General features: G+C 41.9%; 2 annotated features.

Moving 5' to 3' along the window:
• Window positions 15350–15931: an enhancer, noted in NCBI's record as "OCT4-NANOG hESC enhancer chr14:59235232-59235813 (GRCh37/hg19 assembly coordinates)". NCBI's record gives its function as "activates a minimal SCP1, AML or CMV promoter by ChIP-STARR-seq in naive and primed H9 embryonic stem cells {active_cell/tissue: H9 hESC(naive and primed)}" and the evidence as "EXISTENCE:reporter gene assay evidence [ECO:0000049][PMID:30033119]".
• Window positions 15932–16512: an enhancer, noted in NCBI's record as "OCT4-NANOG hESC enhancer chr14:59235814-59236394 (GRCh37/hg19 assembly coordinates)". NCBI's record gives its function as "activates a minimal SCP1, AML or CMV promoter by ChIP-STARR-seq in naive and primed H9 embryonic stem cells {active_cell/tissue: H9 hESC(naive and primed)}" and the evidence as "EXISTENCE:reporter gene assay evidence [ECO:0000049][PMID:30033119]".

The following is a 25256-nucleotide window of genomic DNA, read 5'->3' on the forward strand; positions in this document are numbered from 1 at the left end:
CCGACAAAAATAAATTTAAGGAGATATTAAACTGTTGAGAGTCAAGTGTAGAAGAGGAAGGGGAAATTCTTACAACCAATTGCAACTATGTATCCGAAAGCAAGGGGGCCAGAAGCTTTGTATTTTAATTGCAAATTTAAAAATTCCCAATCTTGTGATTTTCTTCCAAAGCAGTTGTTACTCAGCTCCTAACACTTCTCGTATTCTACACGTCTTTAATCACTCTTTTCACTTTTGCCTCAGGGAAGCAATATCCAATTTACGAACATGTTTTTTTCTAAAAGATTATTTGTAAACTGGTTATTGGGAACTAAAAATACATTTTTCCATAGAAGTTATAACGTTGTAAATAGCAGTTAAAATCTCAACAGACTCTTCATACAGTAAAACTCATTAATAATAATATACAGCTATTACTATAAGGAAGTGAGTTCCTCATTCTAATTCTAAATTGAGCCTCTACCTAATCAATTAACTCCTGTGGGCTCATGATTGTTCTAATCAAAAATAAGAGAACAGGCCAGGCATGATGGCTGATGCCTATAGTCTCAGTGCTTTGGGAGGCTGAGATGAGAGGATTGCTTGAAGCCAGAAGTTCGAGACCAGCCTGAACAATACCGTGAGACCCTATCTCTACAAACAATAAAAATTATCTGGGTGTGGTGGCATATATTTGTAGTACTAGATACTTGAGAGACTGAAGAAGGAGGACCCCTTGAGCCCAGGAGTTTAAGGCTGCAGTGAGCTATGGTTGTGTCACTGCACTCCAAACAGAGGAAGGTCCTGTCTCTAATAACAATAATAAAAATAGAACTATTCAAATCAAGAAATATCAAGTGTTTGTGTGGAATGCAACTTAAGCTCAATATTATAATGTCACACAGAATGGCATGAAGGCAATTAGGCCAGGGTCCGGGGGCGAGGGTGACTTCAGCTAGGCTTTGAAGAATGATTCAGATTTGAATTGGTGGAGGAAAAAGGGAAGATCATTTCAGGCAAAATGAGTAAAAATATGGAAATAGGAAGAATCCTGGATGGAAAATGAGATGTGGTAATGGGGATATGCTGGAGAAACTAAAGCTTTGTATGGAGAGTAGAACAGCCTTGGGACAGCTGAGCATTTGGACTGCCTCAAATGAGGAATTTGGAATTTAAAGAAAGAAGGTGTTTAATAAATATTTGTTGAATGAATGAAAGGATGTCTTATTTATATTATACTTTGGTTCCTAGCCTTCTCTCCCCCTGATTTATTTTATCTCACTGTCTTCTCCTATTTCTTTCTTCTCAGGCCTCTTGAACCTTCTAGTTGTTTTTTTCCCAGCATATATAAAACTTTCTCCATCTTCCTACACAAGTGAGCAGGAGCATTTCCATGATTCTTAATTAAATCCAGTAGTTTTTGGAAATCCTGCTAAGGAGGCGTTACATCTCCATTTGCTGGCTCTTCATTCCTATTACAGGCCTCCTCCTCTCCCCACTGTGAGCCTGGGAGGGAGTGCACATGGGCGTCTTCAAGGTTTCTAAGTAGGCTGCTCAGCAGTGGGCTCCTCTGGCAGATCCCCAGCAACCCAGAGCCCTGAAGTTTTGCCCATATGCATGACAGATTTTATTTGATTTGTTTATATATTTTTTGAGACAGAGTCTCACTCTGTGGCCCAGGCTGCAGTGCAGTGGCATGATCTGGACTCACTGGAACCTCTGCCTCCTGAGTTCAAGCGATTCTTCCACCTCAGCACCCCTGAGTAGCTGGGACTACAGGCATGTGCCACTATGCGCGGCTAATTTTTGTATTTTTTGTAGAGACAAGGTTTTGTCATGTTACCCAGGCTGGTCTCAAACTCCTGGGCTCAAGTAATCCACCCACCTTGGCCTCCCAAAGTGCTAGGATTACAGGTGTGAGCCACCCCACCTGGCCTTATATCTATATTTTAATCAAAACAGTCTCCATGAACTTTATAACTGGATCTGAATTCCCACTCTTAGAGAGTCATTTGTTTCCTTTAGGCCAGAGTCCAGTTAAAAGTAGAAACTTATGTGGGTAAAGCCTTATTGTTCATTCAATGCTGAATGTGAATGAGTTTGAAGTCCTTTGAGTCATTAGGGCTTTGAGAAACATTCTCTAAGGAGTTGCTCTCAACCTGGGGAGCTGTATAAAACATGCAGACTATTGGGCCCCACTCTTGGGAATTCTTATTTGCTAGGTCTGAGGTATGGCCTGGGGATTTGCCATCCATGGCAGATAGAAACTCCTTGCATGATTCTGATACTAGTTAAAGCTGTAAAGCCGCTGATTATAGCACAGTGCCTTTCCCTTAGCAGAGAGTTATTGTGTTGAGTGCTTGAAGGGGAGGCCTAAGCCCGAATGGGCAGGCAGGCCTTGGTAAGATTCAGCTGTGGGGGCTTGTTTTCAAATGGGGCTCTGTGTTAAAATGGGAACTGCCTGCATAGAGAGTTTTTGGCCACTTTGGGCTACTCACTTGGGAGATGATGTCTGCTGTCGTCAGGAAAAGGGGGAGATTTTTTTCCCACTTCAGAGGCTTTCTTTGGGTATGCCAAATTGAGTTTGTTTAGGCTCTGTGCTGTGCAGAGCAGCTGGGGAGAGGAGGAGCTAGCAGCTAGCAGCTGGCTCTGAAGTTAGCATTCTGTGTGTAAACACCTTGGTACCTACAAGCCAGCAGCTTCAATGTCTTTTGTGACACCTCCTCCCTGGGAAGTTTCTACCTGTTGGCTATTGTGCCCACTGTTTCTACAGTGGTCCTACCATCAGGGCCTGTTTTGAGGCTTGTGGCCCTCAAATTTTTCCAGTGTAGAAATAGATTTCCCCAGTATAGAAATATTTGGTGGGGGAAGGGAATTTTGAACAAAATTACTCTGTAATCTCCCTGGTGATGGCCTTTGGCATGGCCTTTCTCTGTTTGCTTCACCCACAATATTCATGTGGCAAAGATAAAAACAATAATGGTCCTCTTTCTGGATCATTATAATTTGGAGGGTTTGCCCAGGTTGGGTGTAGACAAAGGGAAGGAATGATAATTTAAAGCAGATGTGCTATTCTTATGTAAACTGAGCCTGAGGTACTACAGGAAAACTTTGGCATTATTCAGGCCCTGAAACTGCATCTCTGAAAGTTCATTTTCCTGACAAGCATCTCTCCTCTTCTTCCTACTCCGTTCCCAGCCCATGTTCAGGAGAAAAGGCAATCATTGTAAACCAAGAGAAAATTCACCCAAGGATGTTCATCAAAGCTGGGTGTAGTTTCTGCCTTTTGCCCCAGCTGCAGGGTTGGAGGCAGGCATTGGTATGGCCGACAGGGTGGCCCCCGAGAGATGTCATACGTCTGCCATTCTCCTTTTTCTAACCAAAGAACTAGGTCCTTCCATTTGTGCTCTTTTAAAAACACATTCCTCTAGGGGTTAGGGGAGACATTCCAAACTCCCCTGGACTCTGGCATTTTTGTCACTGTATCCCAGCATATGTCCAGGGTCTTGGCACATAATGAGTGCTTTGAAATATTTGTTGAGTAGATGGTGATGACCATTCTACATTCTGGTTTTGGTTAGATTAAGACTGCTTATTTTTCCATTTTATAGATACCGAGATTTTTTCCTTATCTCAGTCATAATCTTCATGCCCTGCTCATACCCCTCGAAGGCCATCTTTGGGCCCTTGGAGGTGGAATAATACTTTATATTTTCTTCCATCACATGCCTTATTCTCTCAAGATTATCTTTTTTACTCCCTTTTACTTTTGGTCATCCATGTAGATGTGTGCAGCTATAGCTCATTGATTTTCTCTGCTGCCAGAGTCTTCCATGTGTGGAATCATTGGGTCATAAGTATATATATCTTCACCTTTACAAAATTATGTCAAATAGTTTTCCAAAGTGATTGTATCTATATCATTCTGTTCCAATTATTTAATGGTGCAAATGACCCCAAGTTGAGTGGATTAAAGCACCAATTTTATTTTGCTTATAATGTTGTGGGTCACGAGTGTGGGAGGAGCTTGGCTGAGCAGCTTGTCTCTAATCCATGTAATGTAAGCTGAGGCTGCTGGCACAAAGGATCCACACCTAACATGGCTTCATCACTCATATCCACATCTTGGTGCTCTTTGTCTCTCCACATGGCATCTCATCCTCTAGGGCCTGCCCACATGGCTTGGGGTTAAGAATGGTGGCCTCAGGGTAGTCTGACTTGCTATATATGGTGGCTCAATGTCCCAAGAACAAATGTTCCAAGTGTTTGGAAATGAATGCTATCAGTCTCTTAAGGCCTGGGCCTGGTAGTTTGCATAACAGCATTTCTGCCACATTCTATCAGTAAAGGGGTCATACGGCCTGCTGAGAATCATGGGGAGGAGGTATAGACCTCCCAAATCTTACAGGGGTAAATATGATAGGGAACAATAATTTGTGGTCGTCGTCTTTTATCTGCCATACATTCTCTGCAGTAAAATATCGAAGTTCTTTCGCTACACACCCTTGTTAACAACTACTATCATCAAACTTAAACACTTTTGCCAATCTAGTGACATGAAAAAATAGGAAGAATATTTTAAAACAACATTTATTGAATATTTACTGTGTGCATTTACAGGCATTGGGCTAAATGCTTTTCATTCCCTGCCCTAATTTTAATCTTAACGATAATCATGTGAAGTAGACGCTTATTACCCTCAGAGAGGTTAACTAACTTGCCAAAGGTCATCTAGCTATAGGTGTAGATTTGAAGAGACATTACCTGACTTCTAAGCCCATGCTTTTAATTTTTCCTTTTATCCCAAGAAGTGAGCTGAGATGATGATTTGAGACAGGGGCAGGACTATAAAGGAAATGTAAAACTATTGAGCTATGATGATTAAATAAAATATAAAGTAGTAGGAAAGAAAATATAATTTTAAAATGTTTTTTCATTTCACTTGGAGGTATGATGTCTCCCTTTCTCTATACCAAGCAATAAACAATATTTGACTCCAAAAGTAAAAACAAAACAAAGCAAAGCAATGCAACAGTCTGCCACCCCCAACCCAAAACTTTTTAGTGCTTGATAGGAATTGGTACTAGTTTTCAAAAGGGGGCTGGAGCTGACCTCAACATACGTAGAGCATGACTGAAGATGCAGATATACTTCTTTTATCTAAGTCAAGGCAACATTGCAGCTTTTGTGGTTTGACTAGCCCAGAAGGAAAGGATGAGAATATTCCCTGCACAGTAGGTTTTGGGTTACGCTTTCCTTACAGCCTAAATTGGAGTCTCATTGATCAATTTTCTATTCTTTGCTGTCCCTTTTCTCAAAGAATAACAACAAAGCTGCATGCATGAGCATGTCATCCACCAGCCAGATATTTACAGTGAACAAATCTACTTTTCCATAGTGTGAGGATTTCCAGGGCAAGTGCCCAAACCTCACAATGTCACATGCAGGCTTCTTGTGGTGATAGAACTTCATGACCTAACACATTTTTGTGTCTTATTTCATTCCTGATATGGATTCCCTCATCCTTGAGGAAAATAGGTCTTCTTCGTACATTTCAGAAATAACTCGTGAGTTCAAATCATAACTGATTTCCATGGCCACATTAGTTGCTTAAGGCCTGGGGTCTCAGATTCCAAATGACTTGGAATAATTTTTTAGATTATTTCTTCCCCAAACTTCAATCCCTCTCACAGACTGAATTAACCTTCTTCATCCTTTCCTTAACCTGTTCTTTTCCAGGTAAACTTCTTGGTTCACTTTTCCTGCTCTGAGCACCCTTTTGAGGAGTCTCAGTGTGTTTTCCTTGCATTTATTGCATTTTTTCTTTTTTTTGTATAGATAGAGATTTATTATAAGGAATTGGCTCATGCAGTTATGGAAGATTGTATATTGTGTTTCATTTTAACCAGCTTCTGTTTCATTAAAAATTAGTACTTCTAGGCTTTTACATTTTTCTATTGTTTTCAGTGTTGCTCAAAGCGATTGGAATTTTATCTATAATATTTAGCCAGGTTTGAATATCTCCCCAAAGGGATGAGATGTGGGTTATATATGGGATCATTCATCTTTGTTTCCTTGTCTTTTCTATCCTCAAGAAGTTTGGTTTAGTGGTTCAGTAGTTTGGCTTCATTTTCTGCTGCCCTGTTATTAGTTGAAAGCTGGACTCAAGAAATTATGATCACAAGGAAAATCTCTAGCTGCTAGTGTCATACACACAAATTATTGACTTAATACAGCAAAATTAGAAAACCTTTAAATATTTCATGCAGAATGTTATTTAGGATCTATTAATATATTTGCGGTTTAAAAAATAACAGAAATAAATGGAAGAAAATTTGAACTTGAAAATAACATACTACCCACTTGATTGTAGGGGACCCAAATTCCTCATGGTGGTATTCTCAGCCCTGACAGCTCTCCTCTCCTAGATGATTAAATAACCTTCTTAGTTCTTAGGAATAGATTTCCAATTGTGGTGACCTTTAATGGTGACCATATGACACGGAGTCAGGGAGGAGTGTGCAGATGTCTCTTGTGGAAATGGTGATATCAGTGAAGTGTGAAAATGTGTCTGCTTCTTTCTTAAATCAAAGCCAACAGTCACTTAAAAAGATGCATCAATTATTAAGAGCTCTAAACTTAACTTTATGTTAACATTAATAGAATAGAACTTTTGGTTCTACTTAGCCTGGTTAAAATGCCTGATAAGCTTTTCTAGGAAAATATCTCTTATTGGGAACACAAGTAAAAAATGTGTAAAGGGATATCGTCCTATTTTTCTGTATTGAACCAGAAGTGTATCCTAGACAATCCCTAGGAATTCCCCTTGCTCCAAAATGCTATGATCTCAGGTAGAAATGAAATCTTTAGCCTGAAACACAGAGTCAGAATCTGAAGAGCCCATTTTTTCCTCTTTCTGGCTTTTCCAGTTTACAATGATTGTCAGGTGCCTTCTTTTTAGACTTTCAGGGATGTTCAAAACAAAACATGACACAACAAAGTGTTCTTTCTCCACAGGCATCATTGGTCTCCACAGGCTATTGTGGGTGAGAGATGATTTAATTAAGAATTGGGCACCTATAACATTGGGAAAACAAGGTCTTTGTGTAAAACGTGTTCCCAAGGGGAGTTCTGGGAGGGATGCTGGAACCAGGACAGCTTGAGATCCCAGACACCGTGCTCATCTGCCATGAGTGCTCCAGCAAATGGGCTGTTGCTTTTCAGGCTCCTCCTCCATTCTATTCAGGCTGCCTCTGTGTTTTTTTTTCTTTCTTTTGAAAGGCTATGAATGATTTATTTGTCTTTGCTTTTTAAGTGATGCCCCATTATGTTTATAATACTATATACCACATATACCTAAATAAAAGACAACTAAGAGCAAAAAATATGTTTGGCCAATTTGAAAATTCTTTATATCTCTATATATTTTAGAAATATAGATGAGATATTCAAATGTCAACAGATATTTAATTTATTAATACAGGTACTCATTTATATTTAAAATAACATCTTAATATTAAAATATTATTTTTTCCACTCTGTTTCCTGAAATGATTTTATTCAAACACTTTACATGTATTTTTTCTTGACTTCTATTTGAATCACCTAACATGGCTTTCTAGGCTCATTCGACTCACTTCCAAGTTGTTTGGGAAGCACTGTTTTTGAATCCCTGTTCAATGTGATAACAGGAACTGCTGTGCCAGGCCAGAAGGACTTATTTGGCCAACATTAGGTGGTTGGCTTCTCATTGTCATGTAGGCATATATTTGTGATCATCAAAATGTAACCACTTACTATGTTGCTTTTAAAAGTTATTTTTAAATGCTTGTTGCTCTATTTTTAACTACATTTGATAATTGCAAATACAAATCTTAACCTTTATGAATAAATGACTGAATCCAGGTTAAATTTCTCATTTCCTTTTTTACCCATACTGACATTTATAAGGACCCCAAGCAAGTATGGATTGAGGTTGTTTTAGGCTTGTATGCTTTTCCCATGAGATACTTTGTAGTTCAAAATAAAATACTTGAAAAAAAAAAAAAAACCTTCTTTGTGAGATTTTGTCAGGCAACTCATTTTATAAGGAACAATCCCAGGAATGTAACAGAAAATGTTTGCCTTACATTAGGGCATTAGAAATATAATGAAGTGAGTTCCCTAACAAGAGATAGAAGGTATATTAGTCCATTTTTACATTTCTATAAAGAAATACCCAGCCGGGAACGGTGGTTCACGCCTGTAATCCAGCACTTTGGGAGGCCGAGGTGGGTGGATCACCTGAGGTCAGGAGTTTGAGACCAGCCTGGCCAACATGGTGAAACCCCGTCTCTACTAAAAAAAAAAAAACAAAACACAAAAATTAGCCAGGTGTGGTGGCAGGCACCTGTAATCCCAGCTACTTGGGAGGCTGAGGCAAGAGAATCACTTGAACCTGGGAGGCAGAGGTTGCAGTGAGCTGAGATCGCGCCATCACACTCCAGCCTGGGGGACATGAGCGAGACTTCATCTCCAAAAAAAAAAAAGAAAAAGAAATACCCGACACTGGGTAATTTATAAAGGAAAGAGGTTTAATGGACTCACAGTTCTGCATGGCTGGGGAGGCCTCAGGAAACTTACAATCATGGTGGAAGGCAAAGGAGAAGCAAGGACCTCACAGGGCGGCAGGAAAGAGAGAGAGAGTGTGAAGGAAGAACTGCCAGACACTTATAAAACCATCAGATCTCATGAGAACTTACTCACTATCACGAGAATAGTGTGGGGGAAACCACCCCATGATCCAATCATCTCCCATCAGGCACCTCCCTCAACACCTGAGGATTATGGGGAGTACAATTCGAGATGAGATTTGGGTAGGGACATAGAGCCAAAACATATAAAAAGGACTGCAGTAATTCTATGTTTCTATTTAATATGCCCATTTTATTTGTATAATATGTGGAAGTGCATGGTAGTTTTCTTTTCCTACTTTCTACTTAAAGGTAAGGCTGATAAACCAGGGGTTGAAGCTTGGAGAAGGCCTCTCTCCTTGCTTGTTGTTTGTCTCATGGGTACATCCAGAAATCGCCTTAGAAAACAGACAGGAAGGATTATGTTTGCTGATCAAACCGTTTGAATGAACCTCACGCTTTGGACAGAGAAAGAAATCAGATTATGTTAAAACACTTTTAAGCATTGAAAAGATCATGAATGATGAAAGCCCAGTGATGTACCTGTCAGGGTGCATGAGATGTCAGTGGTGTACCTGTATGCTGCTTTGGAGTGACCTTGGACATTTCTTAATACAGTCCTTGCCATCACTGTCATCACTGTCATTATTGTCACCATTACGATCTTTCCCTGATTACTTGCTATGCCAAGGACTGCACATGTTGATTTTCACAAATCGTTTCTCTTGGTTCACACAGTTAATGATCCAGCCTCGCTGTGGTTGGAAAGTTTGGAGAGGAAAATAGTTTTAATAATAACTGTCTTGCACACCTTGGTAGCTTGTTTTCGGCCCACTTCAATCTTTGAAAAATTAAAATCCATAAGGTTGTGAAGGAAACTAGCCTTATGCAAAATGACAAAGTAAGACAAAGAGGTTTTTCAGTCTTTTTCATTCTTTTCATCTTCCCCTTGGCAGCATTCCCAGCTCCAGGACCATACTTTCTTTGACCTTCCCCCTTCCTCTTTTGCTTTCTTTTGGGATTCTGCCCCCTGTTAAGGCTAATTTGAGGCAATTAAATTACTCTAAGATTGAAATTTTGAAGGCTTTGGCTTGAAGCTTGGGTTTCCCACTTAAGAACTGTGTTATCTTGAGCCAATCATTTAAGCTTTCTAAGCCTCAGTTTTTTTATCTGTGTTGAAAATGGCTGTGTGTGAATTAAAAGAGATAATGTGTGTTGCTGAGGCTAAAGTGTGATTACGGTCCCACATATTATTTGCATTTTAATGTGGCCTTTAATTGAGAAGTGTCTGAATTTGAGAATTTGAGCTATAGAAGTTTGATGAGGGAAATAGGATGTGTGCTTGGGGAACAGGTTTGGATGCAGGGCTACCTGCACCCCTAGAATAATTTATGGTTGGGAGGTCATGTTTGTTGCCTATTGGCATCTGCCCCCATCTTCTTAACTCTCAGATTAGAACAACAGACACTTTAAGCCCAGAAGAAGTTGTTTAGGCCCATATGATGTAATGGAAAGGTAGATGGTCTTGCCCAATATCGCACAGGTCACTAGCGTCAAAGCTGGGGTGAGAGCCATTTGTCATCACTCCCAGTAGTGGAATTGGCAATGTTTAGTCTGAAGAAAGCTTGTTAAATACCATTTCCTCCTAAGAGTTCCTAACGGAAGCTTTTAGATACCTAATGCTTACTTTTTGTGCATCCTCTGGGTGGAGTGATTTCACAAGAGCCTTAAAAAGGGAGTCATCTGGACCTGACAGTCCCAAAGCCGGTTAGGACTGCACCAGGTGGAGATTAGCATCTCTTGGACTCCAGAGACACTGCCTGAGTTCCCAGATATTCAAGGAATTGGGGAGAGCTCTATGAATGAATTCAGTGGATTTCTGAAGTTGTAAACTGACTTTCACCTGAAGACTCTTGTCTGAGGCTCTTAACATTTTTATGTTGAAACACTCCAAGCATATAGTAAAGAATTAAGCAAAAGTAGGGAACACTGAACTCACTGCGGCTTCTTAAATCTTTCTCTTTTTTTTGCCATTTCACTTTTTTTTTTCTTTGAGATAGACTCTCGCTCCGTCACCCAGGCTGGAGTGCCGTGGTTCACTGCAACTTCTGCCTCTTGAGTTCAAGCGATTCTCCGGCCTTAGCCTCCTGAGTAGCTGGGATTACAGGCACATGCCACCACGCCTGGCTAATTTTTGTATTTTTAGTAGAGATGGGGTTTCACCATGTTGGCTAGGCTGGTCTCGAACTCCTGACCTCAGGTGATCCGCCCACCTCGGCCTTCCAAAGTGCTGGAATTACAGGCATGAGCCACCGCGCCCAGCCTCATATCACTTTTTAAAGAAAGAAAATGAAACAGGTACTGAAGTTTTTTGGCTTTTTAAAATCTATGATCCTTGAGTATTCTTTCCCCCCAGAAGCCATTGCTCTAAATTTGGTGTTTATAATTATTTTTGCACATTTTATACTTGACTTATGAATCTGCAGACATAAGTATTTATCCATGAGTAGTATAAGTCAAGTTTTGCATGTTTTTAAAATTTATATAAATAGCATCAGACCATATGATTTCCATACCTTGCTTATTTTGTTTAACTTTGTGTTTTGGAGATTTATCCATGTTGAGACATGTAGCCCATAATATTTTAACGTCAATAATTTACATGGTAGGAATATTCAACTGTTATTTGCCACTTATTTGTTGCTCACCTGTCTCACTATCTTCATACTACATTTTAATCTCCTCTCAATCATTTCATTTTGTGACTTCTTCAGAGTTGTGCAGTGAACCACGGCTCACTATTAGGACATAAAAATGCAGGTCGCCGCACAGAATCTAAAGGTGTGCATGTACGGTTTTGAATGGTACTAATATGGAATTCCATTCTGGATGCTGCAAGGGCCACCTCTAAGCTTTGAGTAAGAAATCTGTTTTAGCAATGCTAGATTTCATTTTTTCTTTTTTTTTTTTTTTGATGGAGTCTGGCTCTGTCGCCCAGGCTGGAGTGCAGTGGCGCTATCTCAGCTCAGTGCAAGCTCCGCCTCCCGGGTTCACGCCATTCTCCTGCCTCAGCCTCCCGAGTAGCTGGGACTACGGGCGCCGCCACCATGCCTGGCTAAGATTTTGTATTTTTTAGTAGAGACGGGGTTTCACCGTGTTAGCCAGGATGGTCTCAATCTCCTGACCTCATGATCCGCCTGCCCCTGCCTTCCAAAGTGCTGGGATTACAGGCGTGAGCCACCGTGCCCGGCCCTCGTTTTTTCTTAAGGCGTATTTAAAGCAGACCTCAGAGTGACTTTAGGGTTGTATTTTGAAGGAACATTTATTTTTTAAACAAACTATCATTCCCCCTCCCTGCCTGCCATTATTGTGTTTTCTTCATCCAGCTTAGGATGAGGCACAGTTAAATCTTGATTGTTGCTCAGGAGTTTTGTGCTGATTTATCCTTTATTTGCCCCATGTTCTTGAAAATCCATTAAAAAAGAGGAATAAAAAGGCTTTAGGAGGTTAGTGTGGTTATTTCAGGGAGGAATGTCAGGAAAGACTATCCCCCCTCCCTATGACCCCTCAGAACCTCCCTTTTCTCCTCATCCTGCCAGGCTCCCTGGTACGCCCCTCCCTGAGCAGCGTGGCTCTGTCTCCACAGGTCCGCTTCTGTCCCTTCTTGTGCTCTTTTCCTGGATCCTTGAGCTCCACTGAAGCCATTCCATCTGGTCATGGGACATCTGTGATTTCAGTCTAATGACATTTCGTGAGGCTGGGATCCTGTGTCCCAGCACTCTTTGGGGAGAGCTATTTCCAGGAAGGCGAGGGCCTGCGGTCAGTGAGGCAGACAGCACAGCTGCAGGGGACGGCGTGGACAAAACTAAACCCTCCCACAGCTGAGTGCATGTCATCAATGTAAACGTTGATCTCCTTTTTTTAAATCCTCAAGGGACCCCGAGGAGCGGGCTGTGTCTCTGGAACCTTAACTAGGCAAAAATTGGTATTATGGTTGGAAATGCAGCTGGCCAACGCAAGAAGCTTCAAGAGCTGAGAGGGTCACAGAGAGGTCAAGGGGAAGGGAGGTGGGGGAGTGAAGGGGCTCAGATGAAATATTTCAGGGATTGTAAGCTGTTAAATAAATATTCCCGCCCCTACCCTTGGCTTATCAAGCCATCCTAAGCTTTTGAAGCTTACTAATCTTGCCCCCCTTAAACTCCCTGTGTTCCAGTCGGTAGCGACTGGATCAGCTTTTGACTGTCACAGTGTCCCAGAAACAAGGCAAATGAATGCTGGGAGGCTTGTTATCAAGAGGGCAGTCAGTATCTGTGAGGGCCTGGGGCCTGCTGAGAAAGTCAAAGTGAAGGTGAGTGCCCTTCTGAACTCTGGATCGGATCACCTCTCTCGTCTTCTGTCCCGGTGCTGAATTAAGGACTGGGGTGCCCTGGGGGCCCTGGCTGAGGTCTCCCAGGTTTCTCTTTCTGGTACAAGCTAATTATTTATGATATTTCATTTAAGATGTTCATTGCTTAATTGCAAAATTATCAAAACCAAAACAGTAGTAACCAGGCATGATGAGCTGGTGGTAAAGTGGTCACAGGATTGAAAATGTTTGAGAATAATAGTTTTCAAGTGTTTCCTGCTGGCCACATGGATGCCACAGCCTATCTCAGGACATGGTGAATGATATCGAAGAAGAGTTAAAACTGTCTGAACACTCATCATATGTCTCATAGTTTGCTAAACTTCTATATGTATTCTCATTTCATTTTTCCTTATCTCTGTTTTACAGATAAGACTGAGGCTTAGAGAGATCCAGTCATTTCATAGCTGATACATGGAAGAATCAAGATGCAAACCCAGGTCTGAAAGGATCTGAAGTGTATATATATTTTTTCTTTTTGCTGTTACATCACCACAGTGTGGGCCACACATCTGTGTGTGGCATACAGCATATGGTATTATATTTCAATTTGGTGACTTGAGGATGCCAACCAATTTAGAAATTGCTTTTCTTGTATTAGTGTTCTATACAAAGTCCATAGGGCTTATGATATAAAATTAGGAGAAATCTTTGGTTGTTCTTTTTTTTTTCTAGTCAAGCTGACCACTTAAATCATTTGTTCATTCATTCAACATTTATTAGGTGTCTAGTTTGTGCCAGATACAGTGCTAAATGCTGGGGAAACGATGGCAAGCAACAGCAGCAATGGACCTGGGTCCATGGAGCTAGAGTCAAATGTAATCAAATAATTACAACAATGTGGAGTTTCTCTTGGGATAAGTGCTGTGAAAAGAGAGGTACAGGGTGTGAATGTTCATGGTACGTGGATGTGACTGATCTGAAAGGTCAGGAAGGCTTCCTGGGAAGCAGTGCAGGAGCAATGTGCACATGGAGAGACTCCGTGACTATTGGAGGTAGATGAAGCCTCGTGGCACTGCCTTTGGCTGCTCAGCAGAGGAGCACCCATCGGGCAGGCAGGGTCCTTGGATTTGGCCTCTCACTTGGGATCACCTCTTTGGCCTCGAGAAAAGATGTTCCAGGTTATGAGAAGTCCAGGCCTGTTTGGGGAATCAACCAAGCATTTCATAATTCAAGTACAACTTAGCATAGAATGCCCAGGAAGCAGGAGGCTCCCACTTGTCCAACCTGAATGTCTCCTGTTTGTTGGAGGGTGGTTATAATAGGGACTAGCACTGTTTATCTTGTAGAAGGTCAGTCCCTAGAATAATCTTTATTTAGCCTTCGTGAAGATACATACAGTGACGTTTCTTCTACACAGAAGAGCACTCATAAAGTCCTTGAATCTTAATGGTGGAAGGACGTTAATGAATGTTAATGGAGAAGGATCATATTTGGGTCTATCACCTTTCTGGCAATGAGGAAAGTAAAGCTCAGTGGTCAGATTTATGTGGCTAGGCTCATTGATGTATTCACTCTCCTGGGTGCTGTGGCCACAGAGGTGATCAAACTAGACAAGACGCCTGCCCTCATTGAGGTACATTCTAGTGGGTCTCCAGTTTCCTAGTTCCAGTCCAGTTTTCTTTTATGACATATTCACTTTCCAGACCTTACTCCTTCTTGGAAATGAGTTCTCCTTGGGGCAAACAGGCATTATTTTGATTAATGGCCCTCCTAAAATTTGGAGCCTATAGTTAAAATAACCAAGCAAATGTCTGTGAGAACTTTCTGTGGCTGAATAATGCCAACATTTTCTTTAATTAACATACAGTTGCTTTTTCGGAAAAGGGAGCATTATAGCCCCATGACAAAGCCGTGCTCTTTCTTGACTCCTAGTACTGGCTACTGTGGGCTTCAGATGGGGGATTGTTAAGAAAATATTGCCACATGTGGTGGCTCACGCCTGTAATGGCAGCACTTTGGGAGGCTGAGGTGGAAGGATTGCTTAAGCCCAAGAGTTTGAGGATGCAGTGAGCCACGATCATGCCACTGCACTACAGCCTGGGCAACAGATTGGGAGCCTGCCTCAAAAAATATTAATTTTTAATTTATTGCTTTTTTATTGCATCAACAACATATTAATTTTTAATTACTGTTTTTGTTTATTAATTCTTAGGCTAAGGGTAATAGTCTCCAAGCTGGAGGCTGAAAAATAATCTATTTCTTCTTATCATCACTGAGGCCTACAATCTTCTTTTCAGATAACTTTTTCATGTCATTATTTCTGTGTTAAATGGGGAATTAGATATTTTTCTCTATAAATAGCTATCCCTGAAAAGTAGTATGTACCTGCTGAGTGCTTGTCACCAGTTTTAAATTAATTCACTGTTTTCAATGGATGACTTTCCTAGTGATGCCACATATATTTTAATAGCTGATGACCCTTTTGTGTCAGAACTAGATACCTGGATATCCCAAATCGATGTAATGTTAGCCTGATGATAATAATAGTAATAGTTATATAGTGCTTGCTAGGAGTTAGAATCTGCTTCAACCACTTTAATATAACTCATTTTCATTCTCACAATAATTCATGGAAGGTTGTATTTTTTTTTTCATTGTACAGACGAAGAGGCTGTAATAGAGGTCAAGTATCAGTATGTTAAAACACCACCTTTAGTTTTACAATAACTATATAATTCCTCACTTTACTCCCAAATCTTCACTAAATATGGTGAACTCATCTCCAGGCTAGTCATTTGTTGTGCAAACTCACATTGATTTTTCAGTCTCTCAAAGTCAGAGCTGATAATGACTTTGGCCACCAACTGGTTCGACTGCCCCCCACCTCGTGACTCTCTTCACCAGACTTTTTAGGGAAATCAAAAGCTTCAGGTGAAAGCCTCAGCATACTCTTCACCCTGCTTGAGTTGCCTTTCATCTAAATCTCTCTAATGATAAGCTCCTAATGAGCTGATCTTCACAATTGAAATTCTGGCTTTGTTTTGCCGTATATTGTTGTGTTGGCGCTAAGGGAGGTCACTTAGCACATGAAAATACCCCTTACCCCCTTCCAGGCCACAGACTGTGGCCTATTTCATCCAGTGAGGCTGCTGGCTTTTGACATGGAGTGATGGATGGATGGGAGGGATTCTGAGGTCAAAAGTTCTACTTCCTTGCTGCTCAAAGTGTGGTCCAGGAACCAGGCAGCATGGGTGTGATCAGGAAGCATATGAGACATGCACACACCCAGGCTCACCCCACACTCACTGAATCAGGATCTGCATTTAACAGGATTCTCATTAACATTTGAGAAGCAATGTTCCACTCTACAGTCCAGAGAATGAGATTGCTGAAGTCCATTTTAAGATTTTCCCCTTTTTCACTTGTGTTTCTCTCCTGTATTCTCATCCCCAAGTGTCGAGAACAGATCTTGGCTTTTGGTAATTTCTCTCTTTAATATGCATTACTGTAAGTCTTATAAATAAAAATAAATGTTCCCTTTTGGGTTTCACACCTGTTCTTGCTTCATGAAATGTAATGTCTCCAGGCAGCTTACATTTAAAAAAAATTCTGAAATTCTGTGTGTGTTTCACAGTGTGACACTATTTATTTCTCTGAAGTTTTCAAAAAATATTATTCCTGTTTTCCCATGCTTCATATTGGTTGAAAAGAACAGTTTTCTTTTCATAAGCTGACTACCATACAGCTGCTTTTGATGTGAGATTAGAACATTGCCAAGCCAAATTATTTTGCTTTGAAGTCCTGTAATTGCAGCGTGATTTTGACTAGATGTATTTCTTATCTAAACAAATCGACAGTTAATACTTCATTGGGAGCATTCTACTGTTGTGATATGTTTGGAGTAGCACTTTACTTATCAAATTATTTATTTATTTTTCAAGTAGAAAGGCATATATTACAGCTTCACTATGTTTTTAAGTTCCCAGGATTTAAGTGGGAGCCCTGAGGTTTTGGTTTTAAATTTAATTTTAATTTTAAAAAAGAAAATGGTTATACTTATTGCATGGACCAGGCAAAAGGGCACATAGCAAATTATCATAGTCCTGAGGCTGAAAGAGTTTAGGATTTAGAAACAACCTAGCTGTGGATAACAATTCCAAAGAAAATCCAAGGTGCCTTTTGGAATGTGGCTGTAATTTTTTAATGTGGGCATTTGTTAAGTACCTACTGTGTATATCGTCCTGGTTGCTCTGTCTCTGGAGAACATATACCCTAGATCTTCTGGAACAGTCTTAATTTCATTTTTTCATGGCCAGATCACATGTCTCAATTTTTGGTCCAGCACATATGGTTCACAACAGGGGAAGCAAAGAGAACAGAAGGTGGAGGACCTGCCTCTCAGTGAGGAGTCATGAGGCCTGTGTTTCCTTACTCAGACCAACCCCTTGCTCTATCTGGTAAGTGTAGGAAATGGTTCAGAAAGCACACTGGGTTGGGAAAAGATTATGCACATGACAGGATTTTTAGGGAACCCCACCCCCCAGCACCTCCCACCACCTCCTTCATCTCACCCCACCCCAGAAGAATTTAGTTATCTGCAAAGCTCAATTACAGGCCAAATTAAACCTCCACTGGCCTTTGGACCTGGAGATTTTTCCAAACAAATTGTGAATCAATTTGTCAGTGAATCAGCCATCAGGCAATAAAGTGCACACAATAAAATATTTTCATTGGTTTTATACACAAGACTGACAGCTCAAACTTGCCTGATTTTATAGCTGATTTAGATTAGGTAGAACAAGAAGTTTAAGGTAGTACATTGAAAGAAAATTGCAATCATTTTTTAAAACAATGTACTTTCAACGTTTCTTCACGTTCATACCCTCCAAATAATCCCTATCTCTTTAAAAAAACAAAACAAAACAACTTCCACCCCCAAATCCCTATAATTGGTTACATACAGCAATAACACTTGCTTTGAATTTATTTTTATCCGGTTGGTGTAAAAGTAATTGTGGTTTTTGCAATTACTTTTAATGGCAAAAACCGCAATTACTTTTGCACCAACCGAATACGCTTATTTCTTCTCTGAAGTCTCTAGTGGAGGTGCCAATGAGTTGAACAATAAGGGAGATTCACTTGCTGGTTTCCTAGGCAAGAATCTGAGAGTGAGGAAGTTAATTGGGCCCCAGTCTCTGCTTTTCCATATATTGTGTATTGAAAGGCAGACTACATGTGCCCAGTTGGCTTGAAATGTTCAGAACAAGAAGGTCAGGAACTTCCAGTGTAGAGAGTATCTTCACTTTCCTTTTGAGAGGTTATTGTTCTATTTCTTTGCCAAGTTATTTGTCATGGATCTTTCTAGCCCAGACTTGGAGAAACACGGTAGCATCCTTCTCAGAAGGAAATGGGCTCCTTCAGCATGCCGTGGAGGAAAGGGAGTGCGCTAAGGAGCCAGACATTGGTGTCCACATTGTGGCTTTAATACTTTCTTGCTCTACAACTTTGGGTAAGTCCGTTAAACTCTATGAGCCCCAATTTCCTCATCTGTAAAATGGGCACAATAAAACAGATTTCATGGGCTCACTATATTAAATGAGAGTATGACATATATCAGTGTACCTAGGCAGCTGCAAAGAAAGTACTCAAAGATTATTAATTAATTAATTAATTTTTTTGAGACAGGGTCTCACTCTGTTGCCCAGGCTAGAGTGCACTGGTGTGATCAAGGCTCACTGAGGTGTTTACCTCCTGGGCTCAAGCGATCCTCCCACCTTACCTCCCGAGTAGCTGGGACCATAGGCACATGGCACCAAGCCTGGCTAATTTTTTAATTGTTTGTAGAGGCGAGGTTTTGCCATGTTGCCCAGGCTGGTTATTTTTTCCTTTTATAAACGCATTTAAGCATTTTATATGCTGTGCAGTTGGTACAAACTTCTCATTCCCCACGACCCCCACCCTGTTCTCAGCTCATGCCTCTAACTGTGGTGTATTTCAGGAGGTGCTTCTTGCATGGAAAAGCCTGTAAATCATCCATTGATTCGTTTACTCATTCACTCAGCATATATACGCAGCAGGCATTAGGAATACAAAACAAATTAGACAGTCTACTCCTGAGGGACTCTTCAGGGACCCCTCCCCATGTTTATCTAAATTACCCTCTTTTACAAAGGCCTCTTTTATGGTCTCGTATTTCTGGCCTGCCACCTGGAAGCCAGTGCTTGCTTTCATTTTGAGTCCATTGGCTAATTGCACTGACCAGAAGACCATTAAAAAAAAACCCCAAAACTCTTAGTTTCTTTTTATTTAAATTAATTTTAATTCACATTATTGCTACTTGTCATCTTTAAAGAGAATTATTGCTTGTGGGGATTAAAATGCATACAATCTAGAAACAGACACAAATATGCTCTCACCTATCTAATATTTAGTGATGCCCTGTAGTATTTATAGTTGGTATCGCATTGACTAATATGACCTGGCACATAGTAGGCACCTAATATTAATTTGGGTGATTTATAGTTCTCAGAGGGCAGATAAGACGGCATTTAACTATTCTGCTGCCCTGTAAGTGAATATTTGAATTAAAGGCAATTTGAATGAACGAACTCAAGAGCAGCATCATTTGTAGCCTCTGGTTGAACTAGATTTTTTTTTTCCAAGTAGGAAGCTCTAGGGTGATTGCTGGGAGAGTGTGGAACAGGGTAAAAGCACAGGCTTTGGAGTTAGACAAATGCAGTTGCACTCTCAGCTGGGCCACTGATGTGAGTGAACAGATCATTAACTGTTAGCTGTTAGTTTGGGCAGGTCACGAGAGCTCTCTGAGCTTCTGTTTCCCCACCTGTAACATGGGCATCATAACAGCATGCAGCTCCTGACTTGTGGTGAGGAGAAAAAGAGACACTGAACGTAAAATGCCCAGTCCGTGGGAACCGTGGGTAAGGGGGTCTGTTCTCGTTAAGTCAGGTGTAGGGACCCAGGAGGTTGGAATTTGGGGTGAATGGCTTTGCCTTTGGAGATTAACATTCCCATTATTATCACATAAATCAAACAGAGAGTCTTTGAGGGTTTATGGCCCTTCCATCATCCTAGGGGGCAGTGCTTCCTCCAGATGTAGTTCTTAACCCACAGGCCACCTGGAGGGGTTCCCTAGGAGTCATCTATTAACAGGCTCAGGGATGAGGCCAGAAGGGAGGAGGCAGCCATTCCCTGGAGGGGCGGGGGTTGCAAGTCTGAGGCTGCTCTCTGTCCCTGCACCCTACCCCCATACTTTATTTAGCTTTAGTTCAGGGAAGAGGGCACTCAGGCTCTCAGATGTGGCTGTTTCATCTTAGCTGGGTCAGAGGTTAATGGAGATAAGTAGTGTCTTCTTACCAGGAGGCCTCAGGAGAGCCCAGTGTGTTGTTGCGGTTGAGTCAGGATCTTAGAGATTTAACAGACTGATATTCTCCTACCTTGGGAAGAGAGAGTGAGGCCCTGGGAGAGAAAACTGCAGCTGGGCTAGGCTGGAAGGAGCGGAAGGCTAGAGGACCGTGTCAGTCATTGAATGGCTCAGAGTGAGGCAGGACAGATGCCCACAGGGCAGATCAGAATTCTGGGATCTGTATATTTTGCTATACTAAGTTGGCAGCTTCTACACAGCCCCACTTTGAAATAAAGGCAGGCAGCCTCTCTCCCGTGCCGTGGTACCAGGGTAGACTTCTTCACACAGGCTGCCACTGTGGTAGCTCATGGCCTGGCTACTACTGTGACCCATGGGCCTCTTCCCCAGAACCACAGCCTGATGTCTGATTCTGAGCTCCCTCTGGCCAGGATCTGTTCTGAAGCGGGCAGCATGTCTGCAAAGTGCATGGGATTTAAGACCTGGAACTTCTCTTCTGGGTTGAAGCAATTGCAACAAGTCAATACAGATTACTAAAGAAGGCAAAGTATGTATAGGTTAGGAACGTGTTGAAACACCCAGCAAACCCCTCCTCTTCTGAAAAGTCTTCCTTGGTCACCTCACATAGAAATAATAATGTTTCTATATTCTTAGAGCACTTGGTATCATTTCCTGTCTGTGGCCTTATTGGCTGTCCTGCATGCCAAATTCCCTCTCATCTCTGGCCTAATGTCCTAAAAAAAACCAAAACTGCCTCTTTGTCTCCTTCCTCCCTCATTTCCTCCTTCCTTCTTTCCCTCCCTCTCTCTTTCTTCCAACAACATATAGTAGGCAACTATATGCCAGGCACTTTCTAGGTGCTGGAAACAACTGTGAACAAAACAGGCACAGTCCTTGCTCCAGTGGAGTTGATATTCTAGTAGGCATATTTACTCACCTATTCCTTTCCCTGGACCACACTCTTTGGGAAGCAGGAGCCACCTCATCTCTTCTTGTGTCTCTTGTAACCCTTGTAGCTTGTGCCTTGCTGGGGGTTTAAAATGCTTGTTGAATGAATACATGCTCCTTAGCAGAAGCATATGTAGAGGCCGCCAATTCAGAAGATCCTGGGACAGGAAAGGAATGAAACAGGCTGAGTGTCTGGGATGCACAGGGGAATGGTAGTGACATTGACAAACCAGAGAATGTGGGCTCTGGATGACAGCCACTGCTGTCATTTCAGTTGGATGTGGCCATCTGGGAATGTGAGCCCTGTTTGCCAAAATGTGCTGATTTTGCAAGAGAAGCCAGAAATGAAAATTTTAATGTGAAATCTCATTTTTAAATGTTGGAATTTAGTGCAAAAACCCAAGAAAATATGTCTGTGGGCCAAATGAAGAGCATGGGCTCCCAGAGAGCATTCATGTTGGTAGGTGGGGATTTACCACTTTGGGTGTTTGTGAAGAGTTGGAATACCATGTCCCAGGCCACCACACTAGAAATCTGTGCTAACTCACAGATTCCTCCTTCTCCCATCCCCTAGTCTGGCTTCCTCTCATTGCAGAGACAGGCTTGTCGATTGCCTGTCCTTTTAGTTCCTCCTGTATGCACCTGTATTAGTCCATTTTCATGCTGCTGATAAAGACATACCCAAGACTGGGCCATTTACAAAAGAAAGAAGTTTAACTGGACTTACAGTTCCACGTGGCTGGGGAAGCCTCACAATCATGGCAGAAGGCAAGGAGGAGCAAATCACGCCCTACATGGATAGCAGCAGGGAATGAGCGAGCTTGTGCAGGAAAACTCCCTCTTACAATACCTTCAGATTGCGTGAGACTCATTCACTATCACAAGAACAGCACAGGAAAGACCTGCCCCCATGATTCAATTACCTTTCACTGGGTTCCTGCCACAACATGTGGGAATTCAAGGTGAGATTTGGGTGGGGACACAGCCAAACCATATCAGCACCACTGAACAGTCAGATGTAGCAGTGAGAAAAGGAAATCCCTAGAAAAGTAAAGCAGGGCAGTGATAAGCACTGGGCCTGGCAGTGTTGCACTGTGGCTACTGCATTTATCTGGAAGAGAGACAGCCCTGGGTTTGAATCTTGATACCACCAGCTAATGGATATATTACTTCTTTCACTTCTCTGGCCTTGGTTTCCTTGTCTGTAAAATGATCGTAATATCTGCTTTGCAGGATGGTGATAAGAATTAAATGGTATATGTAGGTTATGAATTATATATAAAAGATTAGGCCGGGTGCGGTTGCTCATGCCTGTAATCCCAGCACTTTGGGAGGCCAAGGCGGGCAGATCACGAGGTTAGGAGATTGAGACCATCCTGGCTAACACGGTGAAACCCCATCTCTACTAAAAGTACAAAAAATTAGCTGGGCATGGTGGCAGGTGCCTGTAGTCCCAGCTATTTGGGAGGCTGAGGCAGGAGAATGGTGTGAACCCAGGAGGGTGAGCTTGCAATGAGCCGAGACCGCGCCACTGCACTCCAGCCTGGGCAATGGTGCAAGACTCTGTCTCAAAAAAAAAAAAAAGATTAAAGATTAAGACATATGTAGTTTCCTTATTTGGTATTCAAGGAAGCTCCAGAGAACTACTTAGCCCCTGAGGATCATGAACTAGACAGAGCTGACGTTGGATTTGTTTTGGGATTTGAGGGATGGTAATGGGGTAGTTGGGATTAACAAGGAATTGAGGGTCTTGGGTGGGGGGCAAAATTGGGAGATAAATTACAGCTCACAATTTGGGCTACTTTCACACCTAGTGATGCCCTGGAATGTTATCAGCATCTTTATTTTCAATCAGTGATCGGAACATTGCTGAAAAAATGGAGGTATAATACAAAAATGATGTTCTTTCTATCTCTTTCAGTTGTGGCCAGCTTACTTTGTGTTTGAGACAGGCTGCATAGCTCATGCAGGATGACAGTTCATGCTGGGGTTTGGTAGTGGTGTGTTCTGGGAAGTTGGGGGTCTCTTTTGCGTATTTCTGGGGTGTATATTGGAACGTGAGGAGACCATAATTTTGTGTAAGTTGTGGAGCAAAGATTCAATGCGTGGAAGACATACTAGATGGGTAATACTTCACCACATCTAGACTTATCCTGGAGTGTGTGTGTGTGTGTGTGTGTGTGTGTGGTTTTCTAAAGATGCTGGTGAACTGAGATACTTCTGAGAGAGCAGATGTGCTATATGGACTAAGGGAATAGAACCTTGATGTCACAAGTATTTCTCGGAAGCCTGCCACATCATTGCTGTTAGGGTTTAGGGTTTCTGTTTCTCTAAGCTCTGACCTAGAGATAAACCTCTCTGAGCTTGTGATAATGAGGATTTACCCTACTGGCTTCTAACATGGATACAAAATAGGGAAGGTGAAAAGTGGTACGTGTTTCCCAGAGTGAGGGGTAGGTAATTTCTGTCTCAGCACTGAAGACTTGGAGTCAGAGGCAGAAAGTTCTTCTGCGTTCTGTGAGTCTCTAGGAAGATTACTTGACCTGCTGTGCGCCAGTTTCCTCATCAGTAAACTGGAGATGCCCCTACCCATTCTACAGGCTCTGGCAAGCATTGCATTAAATGACAGATGGGAAAGTGCTTTCTAGCTGGTCACCACCTAGAAAGGTGGTCACAGGTGGTCACCTGTGTCTTGAGAAGACAAAGGCGCTTTGTATGTATTATTCAGGTGTGTATTTAAAGCCAAGGCTGATCCCAATAAAGTACAATAACCTAAAAGATTGATACTTTCACAGACTGAAGAAAAATTTTCCACTTTAATCCCAAGCCCCAGACCTACCCTCTCCCTTGAAAAAGCTTAGAAATGTTGTCTCTAGAGCTGGGCACTGAGAAGGACGGAAGATATGCTCAGCTCAGAGGACCTAAATTCTGATTAGCTGCAGAGAAAATGACCAGCTCTGCAGCTTCTGGGGCACATTTGAGGGGCATCTCTCCAGGAGGACATAGCACCAAGCATCATTTGATTTACTGATCTTCCCGCTTCCACCCCTGCCCAGGGTTCCCATGGCTGCCGTGAACTGGGAAGTGGAAAGGCAGCAATTGGGCTGTGAGAGCCTCCTGGGTCTCCTACTGCTGACTTCCTCCTATAAATCAGCCACAGACAGCTGCATCCACTCGCACCATGGGATAGAAAAATAGACCCTGTTGCTAGACAGCAACACAGGCTCCACAAACACCATGGGGTCAGAGGGCAAGGGGTCTTAAGCCAGGCACTAGCCAAGCAGGCCCAGCAGCCCCGCAGATCCATTTGTTTATTTTCACAGTGGCATTGCCTGTCTGTACTACACGAAGGAGGGAGACTCCCTTGCCCCTCTGCTCTGCATGTGTAGGCCACTTGCTGCTCACCACCGGAAAGTCCCGCTGACCTGCTGGCTAGTTTATTTATTTTAGATGCGTGTAGACTGTCTGCTAGGTCTAAGTTTTGAAGCTGATGGGGAAGTCATCAAGTCTAGTACAGAGTATTTAGCAATTGAATTTTATCTGGTCCATTGAATATCTGATTGAACAAGAAAGGGAAACCTTGTACTTTGTACTGACGTATTCACAACCTCCCCTCCTTCAGCACCTCCCTCCAGGGCCTTCCTTTCAAATCAGCATCTGACCCACCAAGAGAAATAGGTTTATGATGGCTGTGAGTTTGAGCTTTCCTTCTTCCTTTGACTTGAATCAATCTCTTTGAAAATAACTTTTCCAACATTTTATCATGACAATTTCAAAACACACGTTGAAGCGGAACGATTTTTACAGTGAACCCTGTAAACTCATCTAGATTCTACCATTAACATAATACTATACTTGCTTTGTCACATATCTGTCCATCAAGTCATCTTATTTTTGACACATTTCAAAGTAATTGTAGACATATGTA

This window comes from Homo sapiens, chromosome 14 (genome assembly GCF_000001405.40).
Source record: "Homo sapiens chromosome 14, GRCh38.p14 Primary Assembly".
NCBI lineage: Eukaryota > Metazoa > Chordata > Mammalia > Primates > Hominidae > Homo > Homo sapiens.